The sequence below is a fragment of the Homo sapiens genome, chromosome 3 (assembly GCF_000001405.40).
Source record: "Homo sapiens chromosome 3, GRCh38.p14 Primary Assembly".
Classification (NCBI taxonomy): domain Eukaryota; kingdom Metazoa; phylum Chordata; class Mammalia; order Primates; family Hominidae; genus Homo; species Homo sapiens.
The window spans coordinates 64,103,242-64,125,891 of record NC_000003.12 but is presented as its reverse complement, the minus strand read 5'-3'; the positions used below and the strand labels follow the sequence as shown (position 1 = coordinate 64,125,891).

Genomic DNA, 22,650 nt, shown 5'->3' with positions numbered 1-22,650 from the left:
TTATCTGAAATGCTAGGGGCCAGAAGTGTTTTGTATTTCAGGTTCTTTGTCAGATTTTGGAATACACACATACCTCAGAGATATTTCATGTTCAGTTCTAAAACACCTCAATAGAGCAGATATCACAATAAAGTGAGTCATGCAAATTTTTTGGTTTCCCAATGCATATAAAAGTTTTGTTTACATTATACTGTAGTCTATTAAGTGTGCGATACTATTCTGTCTAAAAAGTGTACATTAATTTAAAAATACTTTATTACTAGAAAGTGCTGTTGATCCTCTGAGCCTTCAGTGAATAATGTTTTTGCTGGTGGAGAGTGTTGCCTCCATATTGTTGGCTGCTGACTGATCAGAGTAGTGGTTGCTGAAGGTTGGCTTGGCTGTGGCAATTTCCAAAGATAAGACAACAATGAAGTTTGACACATTGATTGACTCTTCCTTTCACAAAAGATTTCTCTGTAGTATGTGATGCTGTTTGATAGCATTTTACCCACAGTAGAACTTATTACAAAATTGGACTCAATCCTCTTCAACCCTGCCACTGCTTTATCCACTAGGTTTATGTAATATTCTACATCTTTTGTTGTCATTTCAACAATGTTCGTAGCATCTTCACCAGGAGTAGAATCTATTTCAAGAAACCACTTTCTTCTCTCATCCATAAAAAGCAACAATTCATCCATTCAAGTTCGATCATGAGATGGCCCCATCTTCAGGCTCCACTCTTAATTCTAGTTTTCTTGCTATTTCCACTATACCTGCAATCTAGAACCCCTCAAAGTTATCCATGAGGGTTAGAATCAACTTTGTCCAAACTCCTATTATTATGTATATTTTAACCTCCTCTCATGAATCACGAGTGTTCTTAATGGCATCTAGAATGGTGAATTCTTTCCAGAAGATTTTCAGTTTATTTTGCCCAGATCCATCAGAGGAATCACTATTGATGCAGCCCTGTGAGATTTATTTCTTAATTAAGAAGACTTGAAAGCTGAAATCATTCCTTGATCCATAGGCTAAAGAAGGGGTGCTGTGTTAGCAGGCATGAAAACAACATTCATATTCTTGTACATCTCCGTCATACCTCTTGGGTGACCAAGTGCATTGTCAATAAGTGGTAACATTTTGAAATGAATTTTTTCTTCTGAACAGTAGGTCTCAACAGTGGGCTTATAATATTCAGTAAGCCATGCTATAAGCTTATTTGCTGTCATCCAGGCTTGTTGTTTCATATATACAGCACAATCAGAGTGGACTTAGCATTATTATTAAGGGCCCTAAGATTTTTGAACTGGTCAATGAGCATTAGCTTCAACTTAAAGTCACCAGCTGCATTAGCCCCTAACTGAAGAGTCAGCCTGTCCTTTGAAGCTTTGAGGTCAGGCATTGAGTTCTCCTCTTTAGCTAGTAAGGTACTAGATGGTATCTTCTCTGTTGAAGACTGTTTCACCTACATTGAAAATCTGTTTAGTGTAGCTATCGTCATCAGTGATCTTATGTAGACCTTCTGGACAACTTGTTGCAGCTTTTCCATTAGCACTTGCTGCTTCACCTTGCACTTTTATGTTATGGCGATGGCTTCTTTCCTTAAACCTCATGAACCAACCTCTGTTAGTTTCTAACTTTTCTTCTGCAATTTCCTCACCTCACTCAGCCTTCATAGACCTGAAGAGTTAGGGTCTTGCTCTGGATTAGGCTTTGACTTAAAGGAATGTTGTGGGCTGGTTTGTTTTTCTGTCCAGCCCACTTAAACTTTCCCTGTGTCAGCAATAAGGCTAGGTCACTTTATTTTCATGCATGTGTTGGAGTATCCCTTTAAATTCCTTCAAGAACTTTTTATTTGCATTCACAATTTGGCTAACTGGTGCAAGAGGCCTAGCTTTTGGCCTGTCTTGACTTTCAACGTGTCTTCCTCACTAAGCTTAGTCATCTCCAGCTTTTGATCTAAAGTGAGAGGTGCACGACTCTTCCTTTCACTTGAACACCTAGAAGACATTATACGGTTATTAATTGGCCTAATTTCAATATTGTTTGGTCTCAGGAAATAGACCTGAGAACAGGGAAAAAGATGGGGGAATGGTGGGTCAGTGGAGCAGTTAGAACACACACACATACAACATTTAATGATATTATTTACCATCTTATATGGGTGCAATTCATGATATCCCAAAACAATTACAATAGTAATATCAAAGATTACTGACCATAGATGACCATAATAGATATAATAATAATGAGAAAGTTTGAAATATTGTGAGAATTACCACAATGTGACAGAGACACAAAGTGAGCACAGGCTGTTGGAAAAATGGTGCTGATAGTCTTGCCTAATGAAGGATTGCTATGAACCTTCCATTCGTAAGCATCACAGTATCTGCAAGATGCAATAAGGTGATGCTCAATAAAACATGGTATCTATATTTGCATATGGCTTACCAGTTGAGCATCACTAATCTAAAAATCCAAAACTTGAAATGCTCCCTTGAGCATTTGAGTATCATATTGTCACCCAAAAGTTTTCAGATTTTAGAACATTTTGCATTTTCAGATTGGAGATACTCAACTTGTACCTTGTTCATCCTTCACTGTTGGTCCATATAGCTCACAGTCATCTGAAGTTGTGCTTTATTCCATTGTGTCCTAATTATTTTAACCCACCTCTTCTTGTTGGATACTTTGATTTTTCCATAGCATAAATTCCTAGAAATAAGACTGTTGGATCAAGGAGTGTGCACATTATAAATTTGTACAGTTAATAGCAAATGGTCCTTCTAATGGCTGGATCAGTTGCACTTCCATCAAAAGGGTAGGAGCTCTGAGCTGGGTGCTTGACAGAACCACAAATCCTGCTGAGGACAGGAGCCACATAGCATTCCCAGAGTGTTCACACACCTGCTCTGATATTTTGGGGTTGTAAGTGCTCACAGAGCAGCGAACAGCTCTGATGGCCAAGAGTTGGAGGCAAACCAAGCAAAGTTCCTCCCTCTCTTCCAGGTCTCTAGCATCCTGTTGGGTTTCTCAGGTGCTGACCTTCTGAAGAGTTTCCAGGGGGAGCTGGGTCACCATCTACCCTGGCTGGGTTGGCACAGGGACCACATTTAGTGACAGGAGCAGGGAATTAAGTCATCAGTCTTCACCAGCCAGGATTTGGCGGGAGGAGTAACACAAATTGTCCTGGAAAGCCTGCGTCTGACAGTGGCCCGGGGCTTTGGCAGGTCACAGAATCCTCACACCTTGCTTGGCACTGACAAGGCAGAGTTACCTAACAGGCAGTTTTTCAGAGTCTGAATTCTAGGGTCACCCACAAGTGAGGGCAGCCAGTGCTGGGAAACCTGATCATTTGTTCACACCCACATGACTTCAAAGCAGTCATTTTTTGGATCTTTAAAGGCATCAAAATCAACTGAAGAACTGGCTGAAAATGCAGATTCTTGGGCCTCCCAGAAGTTCTGGTTCACTAGGTCTGGGACAGGACTGGGGAACTTGCAGGTGATTCTGTGATTCTGACACAGCAGTGGTTCCCAGACAACACCCTGAAGTGAGCCTTGGCTGTTGGGTTATGAATTTTTGGGGGCAAAGGGTGGGCTAGTGGGGACATCTACTTGAGACCTGTTAGCAGGTTTTGACTAATGACAGATGATGAGGTAGACAAATCTTGGGTTTAGGTTTCTCTTTCTCTCATTTATGTTCCTTTCTGTCAACAAACTACCCCCTGGTTATCTAGGAACCTCCTAAGTGTTTTCCATTCTGACCTCTCTGGCAGCATTCCATAACTCTTCTTTCCCTCCCTTTTACCCCCTTTATGAAAACTTACTTTGCTAGATAACATTCCCTTTGCAAAGATACTCTGCAGATATTCCTCAACCATAATCCACACTGATCTGATAATGGGTGGTATCTGGAATCAAAATCACAGACTCAGCTGGGAGGAGCTTGGAGCGTCTCTGCTAGAAGTTCAGAAGAAAGCCAAGGTTCAGAGGAGAGAAGTGATTTATTCAGTATCTCACTGGTATTTATGGCAGTGTGCTCTACTTTCCGAGCCAGTCATTCTTTTCTGCTACCCTGGAAAGCACCGTTTATAGCAAATATACAACACATGGAACTTCACAAATGAAAATCAAAGATTTGACTAAGGTGTAAGGTGAGTGGCCTGTCTGCCCAGCATGGGACTAGGGGGCGGCAAGAAACACCCTCCCCCATGGCTACATAATTTAAAGGGGTGCCAAAAAACTTAGCCATCAAGATAAGGAATATTTTAAGCATTAAAATTCATACAAAAAAAATTGTGACTAACAAAAGAATACAATTTGTAAATAAAGACAGGATCTGTTTCACTGATTTTTTTTTTTTCTTTTGCCTTAGGCTCCAGTTTGGCTGAACACAGCCGAGTTACAATAACTGAGACAGAAATTATAAGCAGATATGTTTGGATTTTAACAGGAATCAATGTTGGTAAACCACTATTTCTCAAAACATGTTTATGAGTCAGGGTGGGGCTGGGTAGAGAAGGGGTTCTGTTTCCAAAGTATGGAAAACAATGCATTTTCTATCTTCTTTCTGAAAATTCCTACTGCACTGAAGCCTGTTTTTGAGAAGTGCCGTAGAAATTCCCAAACCTAATTTCCCACCCAATCGTTTTTTTGCATAATCCAGAGAGGATAGTTTGGAAAGGCTTCCTTTAGCTCACGAGCTGGATTGATATAAAGATTTGCAAGGTGGGAGGAAAGAGATTTGAGGGCCCTGGAGGACTCTCCAGGTACTCAGCTCCTACCAGGTAAGCAGCTGCTTATTCCATCTGTGCAGAGGGGGAGCCCAGCCAAACCCACGTTGCCTCAGGAAGCCAGACGAAGGGCACAGGCTGGCTGAGACAGAGATTGGAGACCAAGAGCAGGAAAAGAAGTTTTCATGGCCCTGTTCAAGGTCTTTATGCTTTCCAAGAATTCAGTCCTGGCTTTGTTGTTTGTTGGCAGAGACAGGATAATGGGTTCGTGGCAGCTTCACTTTTGCTGAAGGGAGAAGTAGGACACGGCATAGTGCAAAGCCGTGCTTTCTCTCCCTATTCCTGAGGTTCCCTAGCTGCCTGGCCAGAAGCCTGGGAGTGTGGCATGCTCAGGTACAGCCCCTGGTTGGTCTCTATGATATATGCCTTCCTGGATATGTTATGAGAAACAAGGGGAGCTAGGCTTTCTTTCCACACTCATGAGATAAAGGAAAGCACCCCAGACCCTTTGCTGTTCCAAATGTGGTCTGTGGACCAGTATCTTCTAGAAGCTTGTCAGAGATTCAGAATCTCAGACTTAGTGGATTCAGATTTTCATTTTAAGAAGATCCCTGGGCGACTTGCATGCTTCTGAAGCTTGAGAAGAGGTTGCCTTAGAGTCTGGAGACCTGCTTTGATTCTTGCCTCCATCACTGACTCCTACCCTCACCCATGACCTTGGGCAAGGTGCTCATCTTTTTTCTGTTTTCAGTTCCTTATCTGCCAAACGAAGGTCCATCTGCTGTCTTTCCAGATTTCCGGAAGCACCAGTGCATTTTATGCTCTTAAAAAGTATAAAGAGCTCTATAAATGCAAGTTAATAATACAAGCAGTAATGATTATCTGAAAACTTAATTCTTACCTAAGACCTTTATTCCATAGCTTCTATTTTATTAGAAGTTGACTTTTTCTTATAATTTCAACTTTTATTTTAGATTCAGGGGGTACATGTGCAGGTTACCTGGGTGTAGTACGTGATGCTGAGGTTTGGGGTATGATTCCTCCTGTCACCCAGGTACTGAGCATAGTACCCAATAGTTAGATTTTCAAACCTTGCTTCCTTCCCTCCTTCCCCTCTAGTAGCCCCCATGTCTCTTGTTGCCATCTTTACATCCGTTGAGTACCCAGTGTTTACCTCCCACTTACAAGTGAGAACATGTGGTAATTCGTTTTTTGTTCCCACCTTAATTCACTTGGGAAAATGGCCTCCAGCTGTATCGATGCTGCCACAAAGGACATGATCTCATACTTTTTTATGGCTGCATCATATTCCATGGTGTACATGCCCCACATTTTCTTTATCCAGTCCACCATTGATGAGCATCTAGGTTGATACCATGTCTTTGCTATTGTAAACAGTGCTGTGATGAACATATGAGTGCATGTGTCTTTTTGACAGAATGTTTTATTTTCTTTTGGATATATACCCGGTAATGGGATTGCTGGGTTGAATGGTAGTTTGGTTTAAGTTCTTTGAGAAATCTCCAAGCTGCTTTTCACAGTGGCTGAACTCACTTACATTTGCACCAATCGTACATAAGTGTTCTCTTTTCTCCACAGCCTCACCAGCATCTGTTGTTTTTTGACTTTTTAATAGTAGCCATTCTGACTGGTATGAGATAGTATCTCATTGTGCTTTTGACTTGCATTTCTGTGATGATTAGTGACGTTGAGAATTTTTTCCTATGTGTGTTGGTAGCTCGTATGTGTTCTTTTGAGAAGTGTCTTTTCATGTTTTTTGCCCATTTCTTTCAACTTTTATTTTAAGTTCACAAAGTTACATGCAAACATTTGTTATGTAGGTAAACTTGTGTTATGGGGGTTTGTTGTACAGATTATTTCATCACCCAGCTATTAAGCCTAGTACCCGTTAGTTATTTTTCATGATCTTCCTCCTTCTACCCTCCACCCTCCAATAGATCCCAGTGTGTGTTGTTCCCCTCCATGTGTCCATGTGTTCTCATCATTTAGCTCCCACTTATAAGTAAGAACATGTAGTATTTGATTTCCTGTTTCTGTCTTAGTTTGCTAAGAATAATGGCCTCCAGCTCCATCCATGTCTCTGTAAGGGACGTGATCTCATTCTTTTTTATGGCTGCATAGTATTCTATGGTGTATATGTACCACATTTTCTTTATCCAGTCTATCATTGATGGTTATGCAGATTGATTCCATGTCTTCGCTAGTGTGAATAGTGCTCAATAGACATAAACACCTGCATCTTTCTTTATAATAGAACAATTTATATTTATTTGGATATAATATTTATTTGCTGGGTTGAATGGTATTTCTGTTATTAGGTCTCTGAGGAATTACCACACTGTCTTCCACAGTGGTTGAACTAATCGACACCCTCACCAAGAGTGTACAAGCATTCTTTTCCTCTGCAACCATAATCCATATTTTTTTTGCCTTTTTAAGAATAGCCAGCATCAGTAATTTTTTGCCTTTTTAGTAATAGTCATTCTGATGGGTATGAGATAGTTATCTCATCATGGTTTTGAGTTGCATTTCTCTAATTATCAGTGATGTTGAGTTTTTTGCATGATTACTGGCCACATATATGCCTTCTTTTGAAAAGTATGTGTTCATGTTCTTTGCCCACTTTTTAATGGGGTGGTTTGGTTTTTTTCTTGCAAATTTGTTTAAGTTCCTTATAGATGTTGGATATTAGACCTTTGTGAGATGCTTAGTTTGCAGAAATGTTCTCCTTTTCTGTAGGTTGTCTGTTTACTCCATTGATAGTTTCTTTTTGCTGTGCAGAAGCTCTTTAGTTTAATTAGATCCCATTTGTCAATTTTTGCTTTTGTCGCAATTGCTTTTGGTGTCTTCATCATGAAATCTTTGCCCGTGCCCATGTCCTGAATGATATTGCCTAGGTTTTCTTCAAGGTTTTTATAGTTTAGGTTTTTACAGTTAAGTCTTTAATCCATCTTGAGTTAATTTTTGTGTAAGGAAGGAGTCCAGTTTCAATTTTCAGCATATGGCTAGCCAGTTATCCCAGCACCATTTATTTAGCAGGCAATCCTTTCCCCATTACTTGTTTTTGTCAGGTTTGTCTAAGATCAGATAGCTATAGGTGTGTGGCCTTACTTCTGTGTTTCCTATTCTGTTCCATTGGTCTATGTGTCTGTTTTTCTACCAGTACCATCCTGCCTTGGTTACTGTAGCCCTGTAATATAGTTTGAAGTTGGGAAATGTGATGCCTTCTGCTTTGTTCTTTTTTGCTTAGGATTGTCTTGGCTATTTGGGCTCTTTTTTGTTTCCATATGAATTTTCAAGTAGTATTTTCTAGTTCTGTGAAGAATCTCAGTGGTAGTTTAATAGAAATAGCATTGAGTCTATAAATTACTTTGGGCAGTATGGCCATTTTCATGATGTTGATTCTTCCTGTCAATGAGCATGGAATGTGTTTTCACTTGTTTGTGTCATCTCTAATTTATTTGAACAGTGGTTTGAAGTTCTCCATGTAGAGATCTTTCACCTCCCTAGTCAGCTGTATTCCTAGGTAATGTATTCTTTTTGTGGCAATTGTGAATGGGAGTTCATTTCCGATCTGGCTTTTGGCTTGACTATTGTTGGTATATAGGAATGCTAGTGATTTTTCCACATTGATTTTTGATCCTGAGACTTTGCTGAAGTTGTTTATCAATTTAAGAAGCTTGTGGGCTGGGACTGTGGGATGTTTTAGATATAGGATCATGTCATCTGCAAACAGGGATGATTTGACTTTCCCTCTTCCTATTTGGAGTGCCTTTTATTTCTTTCTCTTGCCTGATTGCCCTGGCCAGGACTCCTAATACTATGTTGAATAGGACTGGTGAGAGAGGGCATCCTTGTCTTATGCTGGTTTTCAAGGGAATGCTTCCAGCTTTTGCCCATTCAGTATGGTGGTGGCTATGGGTTTGTCATGGATGGCTCTTATTATTTTGAGGTATGTTCATTAAGTACCTAGTTTATTGAAAGTTTTTTACATGAGAAGATGTTGAATTTTATCAAAATCCTTTTCCACATCTATTGTGATAATCATATGGTTTTCGTCTTTAGTTCTGTTTATGTGAGGCATCACATTTATTGATTTACATATGATGAATCAAACTTGTTCCCAAGGATAAATAAAGTCTACTTGTTTGTGGTGGATAAGCTTTTTGATGTGCTGCTGGATTCGGGTTGCCAGTAATTTTTTAAGAATTTTTGCATCAATGTTCATCAAGGATGTTGGCCTGACTTTTTGTTGTTGTTGTTGTATCTCTACCAGGTTTTGGTATCAGGATGATGCTGGCCTCATAGAATAAGTTAGGGAGGAGTCACTCCTCCTCAGTGTTTTGGAATAGTTTCAGTAGGAATGATACCAGCTCTTCTTTGGACACCTGACAGAATTCAGCTGTGAATCCATCTGATCCTGGGCTTTTTTTGGTTGGTAGGCTATTTATTACTGCCTCAATTTCAGAGCTCATTATTGGTCTGTTCAGGGATTCAATTTCTTCCTGGTTCATTCTTGGAAGGGTGTATGTGTCCAGACATTTATCCATTTCTCCTAGATTTTCTAGTTTATGTACATAGAGGTGTTCATAATATTCTCTGATGGTTGTTTATATTTCTGTAGGGTAAGTGATAATATCCTTCTTGTCATTTCTGATTGTGTTTATTTTAATCTTCTCTCTTTTCTTATTAGTCTAGCTAGTGGTCTATCTATTTTATTATTTTTTTCAAGAAAACCAGCTCCTGGATTCATTGATCTTTTGAATGGCTTTTTTGTGTCTCAGTCTCCTTCAGTTCAGCCCTAATTTTGATTATTTTGTGTCTTCGGCTAGTTTTGGGATTTCTTTGCACTTGATTCTCTAGTTCTTTTAGTTTTTATATTAAGTTGTTAACTTGAGATCTTTCTAACTTTTTGATGTGAACATTTCAGTGCTATAAGTTTCCTGCTTAACACTGCCTTAGCTGCATCCCAAAGATTCTGATATGTTGTATCTTTGTTGTCATTACTTTCTAAGTACTTCTTCATTTCTGCCTTAATTTCATTATTTACCCAAAAGTCATTCAGCAGCAGGTTATCCAATTTCCATGTAATTGTATGGTTTTGAGTGAATTTCTTAGTCTTGATTTCTAATTTGATTGTGCTGTGGTCTGAGAGATTGTTTGTTATGATTTCAGTTCTTTTGCATTTGATGAGGAGAATTTTACTTCTGATTGTGTGATCTATTTTAGAATATATGCCATGTGGTGATGAGAAGAATGTGTATTCTGTTTTTTTGGGTGGAGAGTTCTATAGATATCTATCAGGTCTGCTTGATCCAGAGCGGAGTTCAGGTCCTGAACATCTTTGTTAATTTTTTCTTGATGATCTGTCTAATATTGTCAGTGGGGCTGTAAATCCTGCCACTATTATTGTGTGGGAGTCTAAATCTCTTTGAAGGTCTCTAAGAACTTGCTTTTTGAATCTGGGTGCTCCTGTGTTGGGAACATATATATTTAGGATAGTGAGATTTTCTTGCTGAATTCCACCCTTTACCATTACATAATGCCCTTCTTTGTCTTTTTTGATCTTTGTTGGCTTAAACTCTGTTTTGTCAGAAACTAGGATTGCAACTCCTGCTTTTTTCTGTTTTCCATTTGCTTGGTAGGTTTTTCTCTATCTCTTTATTTTGAGCCTGTGTGTGTCTGCATGGGAGATGGGTCTCTTGAAGACAGCATAATAATGGGTCTTGGTTCTTCATGCAGCTTGCCACACTGTGTCTTTTAATTGGGTCATTCAGCCCATTTACATTTAAGGTTAGTACTGATATGTGTAGATTTAATCCTGTCATCATTATGTTAGCTGGTTATTTTGCAAACTTGTTTATGTAGTTTCTTTACAGTGACACTGGTCTGGGTACTTCAGTGTGTTTTTACAGAGGCTGGTAATGGTCTTTCCTTTGCAAATTAAGTACTTCCTTCAGGAGCTCTTGTAAGGCAGGTCTAGTGGGAACAAATTCCCTCAGCATTTGCTTGTCTGAAAAGGATCTTATTTCTCCTTTGCTTATGAATCTTAGTTTGGCCGGATATGAAATTCTGGGTTGGAATTTCTTTTCTTTAAGAATGTTGAATATTGGCCCCCATTCTTTTCTGGCTTACAGGGTTTCAGCTGAGAAGTCTGCTGTCAGTCTGATGGGCTTCCTTTTGTAGATGACCTGATCTTTCCCTCTAGCTGCCTTTAACATTTTTTTCTTTTATTTTGACCTCAGAAAATCTTATGATTATGTGTACTGGGGATAATCTTCTTTTGAAGTATCTTAAGAATGTTGGCCTCTCTAGCTAGGTTGGGGAAGTTCTCATGAATGATATCTTGAAGTATGTTTACTAAGTTGGTTCCATTCTCCCCATCTCTTTCAAGGACACCAATCAGTCATAGATTTGGTCCCTTTACATAATCCCATATTTCTCAAAGGTTTTGTTTATTCCTTTTCATTCTTTTTTTTTTCTATTCTTGTCTGCCTGTCTTATTTCAAAAAGCCAGTCTTCAAGCTCTGAGATTCTTTTCTCCAGTTACTCTATTCTATTAATACTTGTGATTGTGTTGTGAAATTCTTGTAATGGGTTTTTTTAGCTCTCTAAGGTCAGTTATGTTTTTCTCTATATTGGCTATTTTGTCTGTCAGCTCCTGCATTGTTTTATCATCATTTTTAGCTTCCTTGCATTGGGTTTCAGTGTACTGAGCTCAATGATCTTCATTCCTATCCATATTCTGAATTTCATTTCTGTTATTTTAGCTATCTTAGCCTCAGCCCAGTTATGATTCCTTGCTGGAAAGGTGATGCGGTTGTTTGGAGGAAAGAAGGCACTCTGGCTTTTCGTATTTTCAGCATTCTTGCCCTGATTCTTTCTCAAATTTGTGGGCTTATCTACCTTCAATCTTTGAGGTTGCTGACCTTTGCATGGTTTTTTTTTTTTTCTTAATCCTATTTGATGACTTTGAGGGTTTGATTTTGGTATGAGATGGATTCAGCTGACTGGCTTCATTTTGGGGAGATTTTAGGGGGCCAACACCCAGCTCCCAACTGCTAGACTGTGCTCTTACTCTGGGGGACTTGTATTGGGCCCCAGCTTTGTTATCTGGCTCTGCGACATTTGGAGTCCACTGCACTGGAGGTGCCAAGGTGTGGCAGCTGTAACAGTGCTAGCAGATGCAGGGGTGCCTACCTCCCTGTGGGTGTTCACCACAATGACAGAGGCAGCATAGCTGGGTGGAGTGGGGGGCCCCTGCTGGAGATTATGTGTGTGGTTGTACTGGATATGGTATTGGCTTGGGGCAGGGTGCTGGCTGGGGCAGGTTTGGGTGCCTTCTCTGTGCCCTGCAAGCAGGAGTGATCCCTGAGGGTGTGGGGGTGTCCGCTGTTCTCTGTGCAGTATTAGTATAAGGGCAGGGTGCTGGCAGGGGCAGGGCTTGCTGGCTTTATGCCCACCAAAGCTCCATCTGCAGTGGTGGCTGGGGGCTGGGTGGGTGCAGACTACACTCCAGTGTGCTGGCAGGGCAAGGAAAGCAAAACCTATCTGTGCAGACATGTGCCAGCAAAGTGATGTAGGGCATTGCCATGGGCCCCGGGGAAGCTGCAGTATGGGGAGGGAGCATGTGCATGGCTGTATAGGCCACACCTCACTGGACTTCTCCACCAGTCAGGCAAGGTTCACTGGCACAGAAGCTATGCTGTGGGCCCCCAAGGTACCCAAGACTGCCCTCTAAGCAGGTGTGGCCAGGCTGGGGCCCCAGAAGAGGCCAACAGACTAAGGGGTGCACAGGTCAGACCAGCCCCATCTGATGTGCAAGACCACCCTTCAGCGATCAGGTCCAACAGTTCTTCTAGGGCTAAAGTCTCTTATGGGAACAAGTTGAGTCTAGGGGAATGGCCACCCCTGCCCGTGCTGCACTGCAGACACCCCCACAGCAAACCCTCTGGGCTACACATCAGCTGGCTTGTTGCCCCAACACTTCCCTAAGCAGCCCTCCCTGCCACCTCAAGTGTCCATGGTGGTCAAGGGGTCCCCCTCCTTCTAGGGTTCCCAAGGCCTGTGACAAGAGCAGGTTGCTCCTTGCCAGTTCAACTCACCCATTCCCCCTGAGCTGTTGTTGTTCAAAAGTGAGTCCTGCTGCAGGGTAGCCCATGCAGGGTTCCCAGATTTCTATGTCTTGCCTCCATCCATTCTCAGTGCCCTCCTTCTGAAGATCTGTTAAAAGCATGCCAGTCATCTCAGTCCCTCCTTGGGAGCTGTTCCACTTGTCTCCGTCTAGTCAGCCATCTTGCCTTCTCCCCCTTTGCTCATTTTTTAATGGAGCTGTTTTTTGCTTATTCAGTTAAGTTCTTTATAGATTCTGTATATTAGGCCTTGTCTGATGCACAGTTTGAAAATATTTCCTCCCATTCTGTGGGTTGTCTATTTACTCTGTTGGTAGTTTATTTTGCTGTGCAGAAGCTCTTTAGTTTAATTAGGTCCCACTTGGAGGTTAACTTTTTTTGAGAGCCCAAAACTTTGTCTGTCCTGTAACTACATCACATTTGCACCCATTCATTGATTAATTCAGTTATCCTTCCATTTATTTATCCCCACCCTTTATTATCCTTCATACCATACACCCATCCATTTAAAAATTATTCCATCTTCTTGTCCATTGTACCCATTTATCCATCTGTCAGCCAATCTAGTAATTGGTTCTGTTGTACATGAGGTCATGAACTGCTGTCCCACAAATGGCACTTTATCAACCCCCACCTGTAGAGAAGGGAGATCTTGAGAAGCAAAGATCCCAAGCCTAAAGGAGTACATTGTATTTTGCCTCTTAAATCCATAAACCACTTTTATCCAAACATCTAACCCACCTCATCAAGTTGGCTGAGACCAGTGGGAAATGCATATGTCTAATGGGGAAAGGAGGGGTGTGGACAGGCAGGTATAATAAATGTGTAAATTTGGCCAAGGGTAAGAGCATAGGTGATAAAGGTCCTGGTGTATCCCAACTTAAAAAGGCAAAAGGAAATTTAACCCTTGAGATTAAATAAAAAAGCTTAGTGTGTTGGCCACCAGGTGGAACCATGTGTGCCAGCCATACAAGTCTAGTGTATGAGACGTGCCGTTGAGGAAGTGTGTGTGTGTTGGGATAGGGGATTGTGAGTTCTGCATGTTTACCTTTTACATTGTCATGAGTGCATTCTTGCCTCTCAGTTATAATTTCTCATAAACATTATATAGCTGTATAACAAATAGAAATATGCAAAAATCACAAGTGACACCTCAGTGAATTATTACACTGATGGTACCATCTCCCAAGTCAAGCAATAGGCAGTGCCAGTAACCTAGAAGCTCCCTCATGCCCCCTCCCAGCCGCTGCTCTTCCTTCCTCTCCAAAGTAAGCACTATTCTGACATCTAACAGCATAGATGATTTGGGGTGGATTTTAACTTTCTATAAATGGGATATACTGTACATGTTATTTTATATCTGGTATCTTTTACTTTATGAGATTCATCCATGTTGTTGCATGTAATTCATATTTATACAATAGAAAACTATACATTAATAAAAAGGACTGTTTTCATTGCAGCTGCTGGTTAGAAGCTGGGGAGTGTCACTGGATCTGTACTTCTCTCTGCCTCCTGCCCCCTCAAATCTCTGACTGCTAGCACTCTGGCCACATTCCTTTTACTTTTTGTATTCACAGTAATAAAAGGCAGGAGGTGGGAGAAGAGTTCTCAAGTAGCTTCTGTATGACCTTGGGCAAATCATCCAAACTCCCTTTTCCCACTTAGAAAGATTGTATAACAATGCCCAGCAATTTCATATATGACAACATGCGTAAAAGTGCTTTAAAAGTGACAGATAAATATGGAGTAAAGGACAGTAAGAAGATTGAACATTTCATTGGTGTCCCCGCACCAGCACTGTTCTAAGTACTTTGTGTTTTAACCCATTTAATACCTTCTCCCTTAGGTTGTATGATTATTCCCATTTCACAGATGAGGGAACTGAGCACAAAAGAGTCCAGGCCTGCCTGAGAAGGCACAGCTTCAAGGGACAGAACTGGAAGGTGAACTCCAAAGCCAATGCTTTCACCAGTCCCCTGTGCTGCCTCTCAGTTACTTTTTATAATTTTGCCAGCAGCACATGAAAGACACTTTTTTTTTTTTTTTTTTTTTTTTTGAGATGGAGTCTGTCTGTCTCCCAGGCTGGAGTGCAGTGGCACGATCTCGGCTTACTGCAAGCTCCGCCTCCTGGATTCACGCCATTCTCCTGCCTCAGCCTCCCGACACTTTTAAAACCCAGAGTGGACTAGGAAGAACCTCCGTGTGGCTCCTTTTCACCTTCTGAGCCTCATTCCTGCTGCTGTCCTCCTTGCTCACAATGTTCCAGTGTCATTGCCCCTCTGCTACATCTTAGAGCTCGTGGCACCTTCTCTAGTACAAAATATTCTTGCTCCCTCTGCCTGGAACACTTTTCCCTGCCCTTGGCTGGGTGGGCTCCTTCTCATCCTTTAGGTCTCCCCATAGTCATCACCAACACAGAGTTCTTTTCCAGCACTCAAAGTAGGTCCAGTCTTTATTCTCTGCCATAGCATCCCCTTTATTTCCTTCCTAGTGATTATTATCTGTAACGGTCACCTTGCTATGCTGACTTGGTTATCTGTTCTCCCTGCACTAGGTCATATCCTTCTACGTTGTCCTCTTAAAGGGCCTTGTTCACAGTTGTGCTCCCAGTGCCTGGCAATAGCAGGGCTTTGTCAAAGATCTTTGAAGCAACTCAGTGGGTCCCCAGGTTCTTGGCTGCCCACTCTCTACCACTTGGGAGCCATTTAGCTTTTGTCCTCCTGTAGTCAAGTGTTTCCCAAGTAAATACAGCATGGTCTGCTTGTTGACCCAGACTAATGGGTTCTAGAAAGCAGCATGGGGTCAGTGTAAACCCAGAGCAAACTCTGGCAAAAAAATCTTCAACTGGTCTGAATTTGTTGTGTATCCTTTCAATTAGCAATATGCTTTGTGGCAATACAACCAGAATCCCCCATGGAGCTGAGTGGTACTAGTTAAAACTGACTCCACATGATTCTGGAAGATGTCCCTTCCTGGTTTCCTCCTTCACTTTTACAAGTGGTTTTAGTTAAAATTGACTCCATCTTTATTGGGGTCACTGATTTATCCGGAAGTTAATAGGATGAGCAAGGAAAGGGATAGAAGGTAAGAAACCTCCAATCCACACTCAAGTTTTTATCTGACTTGTCCTTGTAACTGTACTGGGTCTGTCAGAGAAGTGATTCTAGTCCCATTATAATGCTTGTCACTCCCCAACCTCCAGTTCAAAGGCAAGTCCCTAGAATGAATGCTGCTAAAAAACAAAGCCGCTATTGTTGGGAAAACCAAGATCAGTCCATGACCCTCTTTGGAAGCAGCTGGTTGTAAAGAGGCTGTTATTTAGTTTGGGCCTAAACAGCCCATGCCTGACTGAGAGGGAAGGCAGGCCAAGCCTGGGGGTGGGAGTGTGAAGTAAGAAGTTATGCACACTCCCCTCCTCCCCCACCCCTGCCCCAGGGCTTGGCCTCCCCTTTCCCTTTCCCTTCCCCAGTGCAGCTGGCAGAGGAAATCATTCCTTAGACTACCAGCACTGATCCTGGTAGCACCAGAGCAGATGACAGATGTGTAACTGACTGCAAGCCAACTTGTGATCTGCTGATCACCTGAGACCTGCTAGATAGGCCAGTGGCTGGAGTAAGGAAGTAAAAGAGATACATCAAAAACTCAGGATTTCAAAAGCTTCAAACCTGCCAGGAAAATTAGACAGCAAAGGCCTTAACTGGGGAGTTCTTGATAGCCACTGAGAGAAAGGAATGTGAATTTTCTGAGAAGAGTTTAGAGAGAAAATAACTTTTAGAGTTCCCCAGTTTTGGGGACATACCACACCCAACCAGGCAGAGCCCTGATAATCCTTCTCTAGAAAGAAGGAGCGGCAACCCCCATCGTGACGAGGCTCCTGTCTGCAGGATGGGGTAGAGCAGGTTTAACTCACTCCAACAACTGGGTGGACAGGAACAGAGCTCCCCTTGGGCTATGGTCAAGCAGCAGGTGGAGGACAGGATCTGTTAGAGCAGCGGTCCTCAGTTGGGGGCGATTTTGCCCTCCAGGGACATTTGGCACTGTTTGGAGACATTTCGGGGCTGTCACAACCAGAGGGATGTGTGACTGGCATCTAGTGGGTAGAGTCCAGAGATACTGCTGAACATCCTGAAGTGCACAGGACAGCCCACCAAACAAAGAATTATCCAGCCCGAAATGTCAGTAGTACTGAGGTTGGGAAACCCTGAATTAGAGTCTCTGAGAGTGTGAGGGTCTTGTTTCCTGGAGTAGAAGCACCCTTGTGTTGCAAAGAAAATCGTCCTTGAAACTCCCATCATCTTGGTGTTCCTCTAACTCTCATGAACATGAGAATCACCAGGGATCTCGTTCAAATGTGGATTTGAATTCTGCAAGTCCGGTGAGGGCCTGAGAGTCTGCAACCAGCTCCCAAGGGATGGCATCGTGGCTGGTCCACAGATCACACTTTCGAGTGCATTCATATTGTCCCACTCTCCTCTTTCTGTCCCCACCCCCAGCCTTCTTTGTCATACTCTGTTTGAGCCATTCCATGCCCTGTCACCAAGAAACATGTGGTGGCGTTTAAGCTCCACTGCCCAGATGACAGTATCTCTCCAGCTGTTGCCAATTTGAAGTTCGGGATGTTGAGGAAATCGATTGACTTAGTTGGAGAAAGGATCCCAAGGGACCTGATCAAGCTACCGCCACACATGCTTCAAACAAACAAATATGTACCTTGGGACACTTTTTGCACGGTCTGAGAGGCTTCAACTGTGTAGCGCCCATGACTTCGGGGCTGTTCAGGCTTGCCGCAGCATGCTAAACCAGAGGTTGACAACCTGTGTCTATAAAGGGCCAGAAAGTAAATATTTGAGGCTTTGCAGGTCATACAGTCTGTCACAACTCCCCAAATCTGGAAAGCAATCACCAACAACATGCAAATGAATAGGTGTAGTTGTGTTTGAATACAAATTTATTTACAAAAACAGGCAGTAAGCTGGATTTGGCCCATTGCCACTGTAGTTTGCAAACCGCTGTTCTAAACAATTCCATTTTCTCCATGTTTCTATCTCAGCAAAAAAGAAAATAAAAATCATATAGGAAAGACCCTAATGAAAGGGAGCTACGTCATCAGTATAAGTTGTAAATGTCTGGAGGACATGGTTGAATAGATACTATTTCCTTTACTGCACAGAAATGTGAAATATGAATGCTTAAAAAAGTTATTTTTTGAAAGGCTCTGGAGTGCAGTGGTGTCATCATAGCTCACTGTAACCGTGATCCTACTGCCTCAGCCTCCCCAGTAGCTGGGACTATAGGTGCACACCACTATGCCTGGCTAATTTTCTGTTTTTTGTTTTTGTAGTTAGGGGGTCTTAGTATGTTTCCAGGGCTGGTCTCATACTCCTGGGCTCAGGAGCTCCTCCCACCTCAGCTTCCCAAAGCGCTGGGCTTATAGGAGTGAGCCACCGTGCCTGGTAATGTATCTTTGAAGTTGGCAGAAACACAGCTCTCTGTCTTCTGGTGCGGAGTGGGATAAGACAGGACAATAAATAAGGAACAGAAAGATGTGCCTAAAGTCTGCCGTTCAATCTTAGTCTTTTTCTTCTTTCTGGACTTGCATGCATACATTTTGCCCACAAAGACATGTGGGGGAGGGGAGCCAGCAAATATTTTCTTTCCGTTCCATCAGACCTTGAGCATTCTTTGAAGAACATTGATTTTCTCGCAGAGGCCAGTTTCTGTGAGACCTCCTATTTGTAGAGAGGGAAACATTTCTCAGACAGAAATGCCAGTGTACCATAGAATGCCCCAAATGCACCTTCATGCTGGCAGTTAAACCACAGAGAACCACAGGCTGAATTGGATGCTGACCTCTCTTTGTAGAAGCACAGCCAAGGATCTTAAGGGAACCTGCACCCCTGTGGTGCATGGACATTTGCGTAGCTCCCAGTCACACTGACCCTTGGGATATGGATAAATCACTGCGTTTAACTCTATCATCACCCTGAGCACCTCTCATAAAGCCTGCATTATTTGGCAGGGAAAAACCCTCTCTGTTAATTAAGAAAACAGAGCTCTGCTTGAGAGGGAAATGACCTGATATCTGTGTCTCCTTGCCATCAGGTGGGATTCTTCTGCCAGATCCTCCAGAGGATGTAGGGGTACTGATACTGCCCTGGACTATGTGCTGCAGCCAGAGTTCTCTGGCAAATTTAGCTTGCAGCTCCCACCTCCCTATCACACATGTGCTTGAGCACGCACACACAGACACACACACACCCCATGGCTTAAACAACAAGAAAAGAAAAATGTGTTTATTACAGGAGAGTAAGGGCATGTTAGAGCCCCATTAGGTTGGATTCTATTGATTTGCATTATTTTGACACTGTGTCGTGTTCAGCACAGACAAATGGAGTGAAGAGTTGAGCTTCGTCTGTGTAGAGGAGGAATCCCAGCCACGGTTTGGAGGCACAGATAATTTACAACAGTGGCTGGCGTTCAAGTGGATATCAGTGCATCAGGCCCTGTTTCTCAAATTCATTAATCCATACAATCATGCATTCAATGATATTTGTTTGCCTGTAACATATTTGAGTCTTTGCAGGTCATACAGTCTGTCACAACTCCCAACTCCAGAAAGCAACCCTCGACAATATGCAAATGAATAGGTGTGGTTGTGTTCCAATACAACTTTATTTAGAAAAACAGGCAGTGAGCGGTGAGCTGGATTTGGTTCACTGGCCATTGCAGTTTGCAAACTCCTGTTCTAAACAGCTCCATTTTCTTCATGTCTCTGCCCCAGCACATAAATAATAAATAATATAGGAAAGACCCTACTGAAAGGGAGCTAAATCATCAGTATGAGTTGTAAATGTCTGGAGGGCATTCACAGTCTTGAGGCATGCTTTCTTTCCTTGGGGAATTTTAGGCCTTACTAAACCTTCTTCCTGCATACTGAATACCAGGTATGAGGTCAGGGCTAGCAAACAGGAGCACAGTTTCTGCCCTCTTGGAGCTGCTGATCTGTCAAGAAGACAGAGATGAAACAACAACTACACAGATGCACCATAGTCATGATGAACCTTAAAAAGGAAAGATATATTTTTCCTCATCTAATCATCACTACAGCTTTAGTACTCACTTCCTGTCATTATGCCCATCTTACTGATGCATCTCAAGAGGTTTACAAATTTCCCCAAGTCACCCAGCCAGAAAGTAGCTCTCCAGTTCTGTTCGTAGTTAGAGGGGAAAGGAGTGCTTCTCAAGTTGGAGTGTGACCTGTGACAGTACAGTTCCATCTTGGGGACAGTATCAGCTGCTAATTTAAACACATCAACAGAGCTGTGATTAGTAAGGAGAAAACATTTCTGCAGTGCAGGGAGCTCATTATAAATCACGTGTACTTTGACTTTAAAATTGGAGAAACCCCAGATGGTGGGCTATATAATGAATCACCAGAGATGGAGATTGACAGGTGTGATCATGGTATTTTTTTCTGGATGTTTGGAATCCCACCCATGTGGATCACAGCACTGACCCACTCCAGGTTGGAGGGTGGTTGCTTTTTTCCAAGCTGTGGGTAACATGAGAATCCATTTACGTTTATTCCATGAGTATGTATTGAGCACCAAAGGGTACTGGGCACTGCTAGCTCTGCAAGAATACAGTGAAGAGTAGGGAGAAGATCCTGGCTCCCAGGGGATTCATTCAGCTACAAACTTACATATGACCTTAATAAGTCAGGGTGAGTAGTTTAAAAAAGGGTCAAGTGCAATAGTGAGTGGTTGGCCAGAAGACAACTAACTTTGCTACTTTAGAAGGAGTGTTCAGAAATGACACTGCTGAGGAGGTGACATCTACACGAGGACTTTAACAAACAGAAGTCAGGCATGCAAAGGGAAGAGTTTTCCAAGGCCTGCTGGAATAAGCTTATTGTTGTGTTTGGGGAGACAGGGAGGAATGTAAGCACAGCTGAAGCAGAGTTAAGCGAGGAGGAGTGTTTAGTTGATTATCTTGGAGAAAGAGAAGAGAGCCAAGTCACGTAGGGCCTTAAGGTCTGCGTAAGGATTCTAGATTTTGCCAGTAATGAAAGTAACCACAGAACTACCCTTTCTAGAGGCAAGTACACAGTTATTGCTCATCTTTGGTCAACATTGGCCTTTCTGTTCATGCCCTGCATGCAAGAAGACCCTGGAGGAAAATCTGAGTTAATGAATCAGAAGAGAGGCATTTCTCCTCTCTAGAGTGAGCAGGTAGTATTTCCAGTCCCACCCACACATAGTCCAGGGGAATGAATGGCTTACATTTAGGTGAAACTGATAGTAGATGCTGGGCTTGTGCAACAGGACCCTCCTGCTCTGATCAAGCTCTTTTGTTTTTCAAGGGGGTGCCTCAGGTTATCCCGAGCTTTCCCGGGATGCAGAAGCCTGATACCAGAAGGCAGTACACCTCCCAGCAGAATAGAAGCTGCTCTTCTTCGAGGTCACCTCCTCACGGAAATAGGAATCTGTTCACAAGCAGGATGCTCTCAAAAACATTTCACTTCTGGGCTTATGAAAGACAGGTTCGGGAAAACAGCATGCTGGGGAATTAATAGTATTTGCTAAGTTATTTATGCTGACCCTAATTCTACTCAAGAGCTAGGTTGGAAAGCCCTGCAAAGATCATTGTGTCCACCTTTTGTTTCTAGACATGAGTTTGAAGATGTTTTCTTTCCTTTCTTACTAGAGTTCATCCACTCAAACCACTCATTCATCATCTTAGGTTGTTATCCTCTCCTCTCTGCTTTCATATTGGGGAGGCTCTGGAAGTGATTAGGCTGTTGTAAATCGGCTTTTATGATTTGTATGTAAGAGATAAGCAGCAGAGTAAGCAAGCGATTGGAGGCCCCAGCTGCTATTGCCCTGACAGTTATCCCAGGAACGAAATTGAAACAAAAAATTACTGGAGTATATGATATTTAGCTGATTAATTTCTTTATAGGCATATCCAATGTTAAAATTTGACCCTTTAACAAACATTGTTTTATTTTTTATTTATTTATTTGTTTATTTTTTGGAGACAGGGGCTCGCTCTGTTGCCCAGGCTGGAGCACAGTTGCACAATCTCGGCTCACTGCAGCCTCCACCTCCTGGGCTCAGGTGATACTGCCACCTCAGTCTCCCAAGTAGCTGGGACTACAGGCACGCACCACCATGCCCAGCTAATTTTTGTATTTTTAGTAGAGACAGGGTTTCACCATGTTGCCCAGGTTTGTCTTGAACTCCTGAGCTCAAGCAGTCCACCCTCCTTGGCCTCCCAAAGTGCTGGGATTACAGGCATGAGCCACCACACCTGGCCAAACGTTGCTTTACTTTTACTCCATTTTATTGAGATATAATTTACACAGAATAAAGCAAACCAATATTAAAACTACATCTCAGTGAATTTTTACACATGTGTATTGTTTTACAGCCACCATCCAGATTTAGTTATAGAACAATTGCAGTGCCCTAGAAGCCTTCTTCATACCCCCTCCTCCCACTGCCCTGACCTGTATCACTATAGATAGCCTCAGCCTGTTCTTGAACTTCATATAAATGGAATCATACAGCACATATTCTTTTTGCATGTCCAAGCATTTTCTATGAGATACATCCATGTTCTTGGGTGTAGTTATTCGTTCTCATTATTGTGTAATATTCCATTTTATCAGGGTTTCTTCTGAGACTGTTGACAGTTTGGTTTGGAAAATTCTGTGTGGAGGCAAGGAAGCCATCCTTCACACTGTAGGATGTTTAGCAACATCTCTGGCCT

At 42.3% G+C, this 22,650-nt stretch overlaps 1 protein-coding gene and 1 long non-coding RNA gene across 3 annotated transcripts in view; one reads left to right on the top strand and one right to left on the bottom strand.

Moving 5' to 3' along the window:
• The window catches only part of PRICKLE2 (prickle planar cell polarity protein 2), a 175,938-nt gene that overhangs the window by 142,282 nt on the left and 11,006 nt on the right, over positions 1–22,650 (top strand). The gene's annotated exons all lie outside the window — the stretch shown is intronic.
• On the bottom strand, positions 19,534–22,422 carry PRICKLE2-AS2 (PRICKLE2 antisense RNA 2). Its single transcript, NR_046701.1, has 4 exons — positions 22,388–22,422; positions 21,159–21,399; positions 19,997–20,173; positions 19,534–19,878 (listed from the first exon to the last, which is right to left on the bottom strand). It is a non-coding gene; the product is annotated as a PRICKLE2 antisense RNA 2 (long non-coding RNA).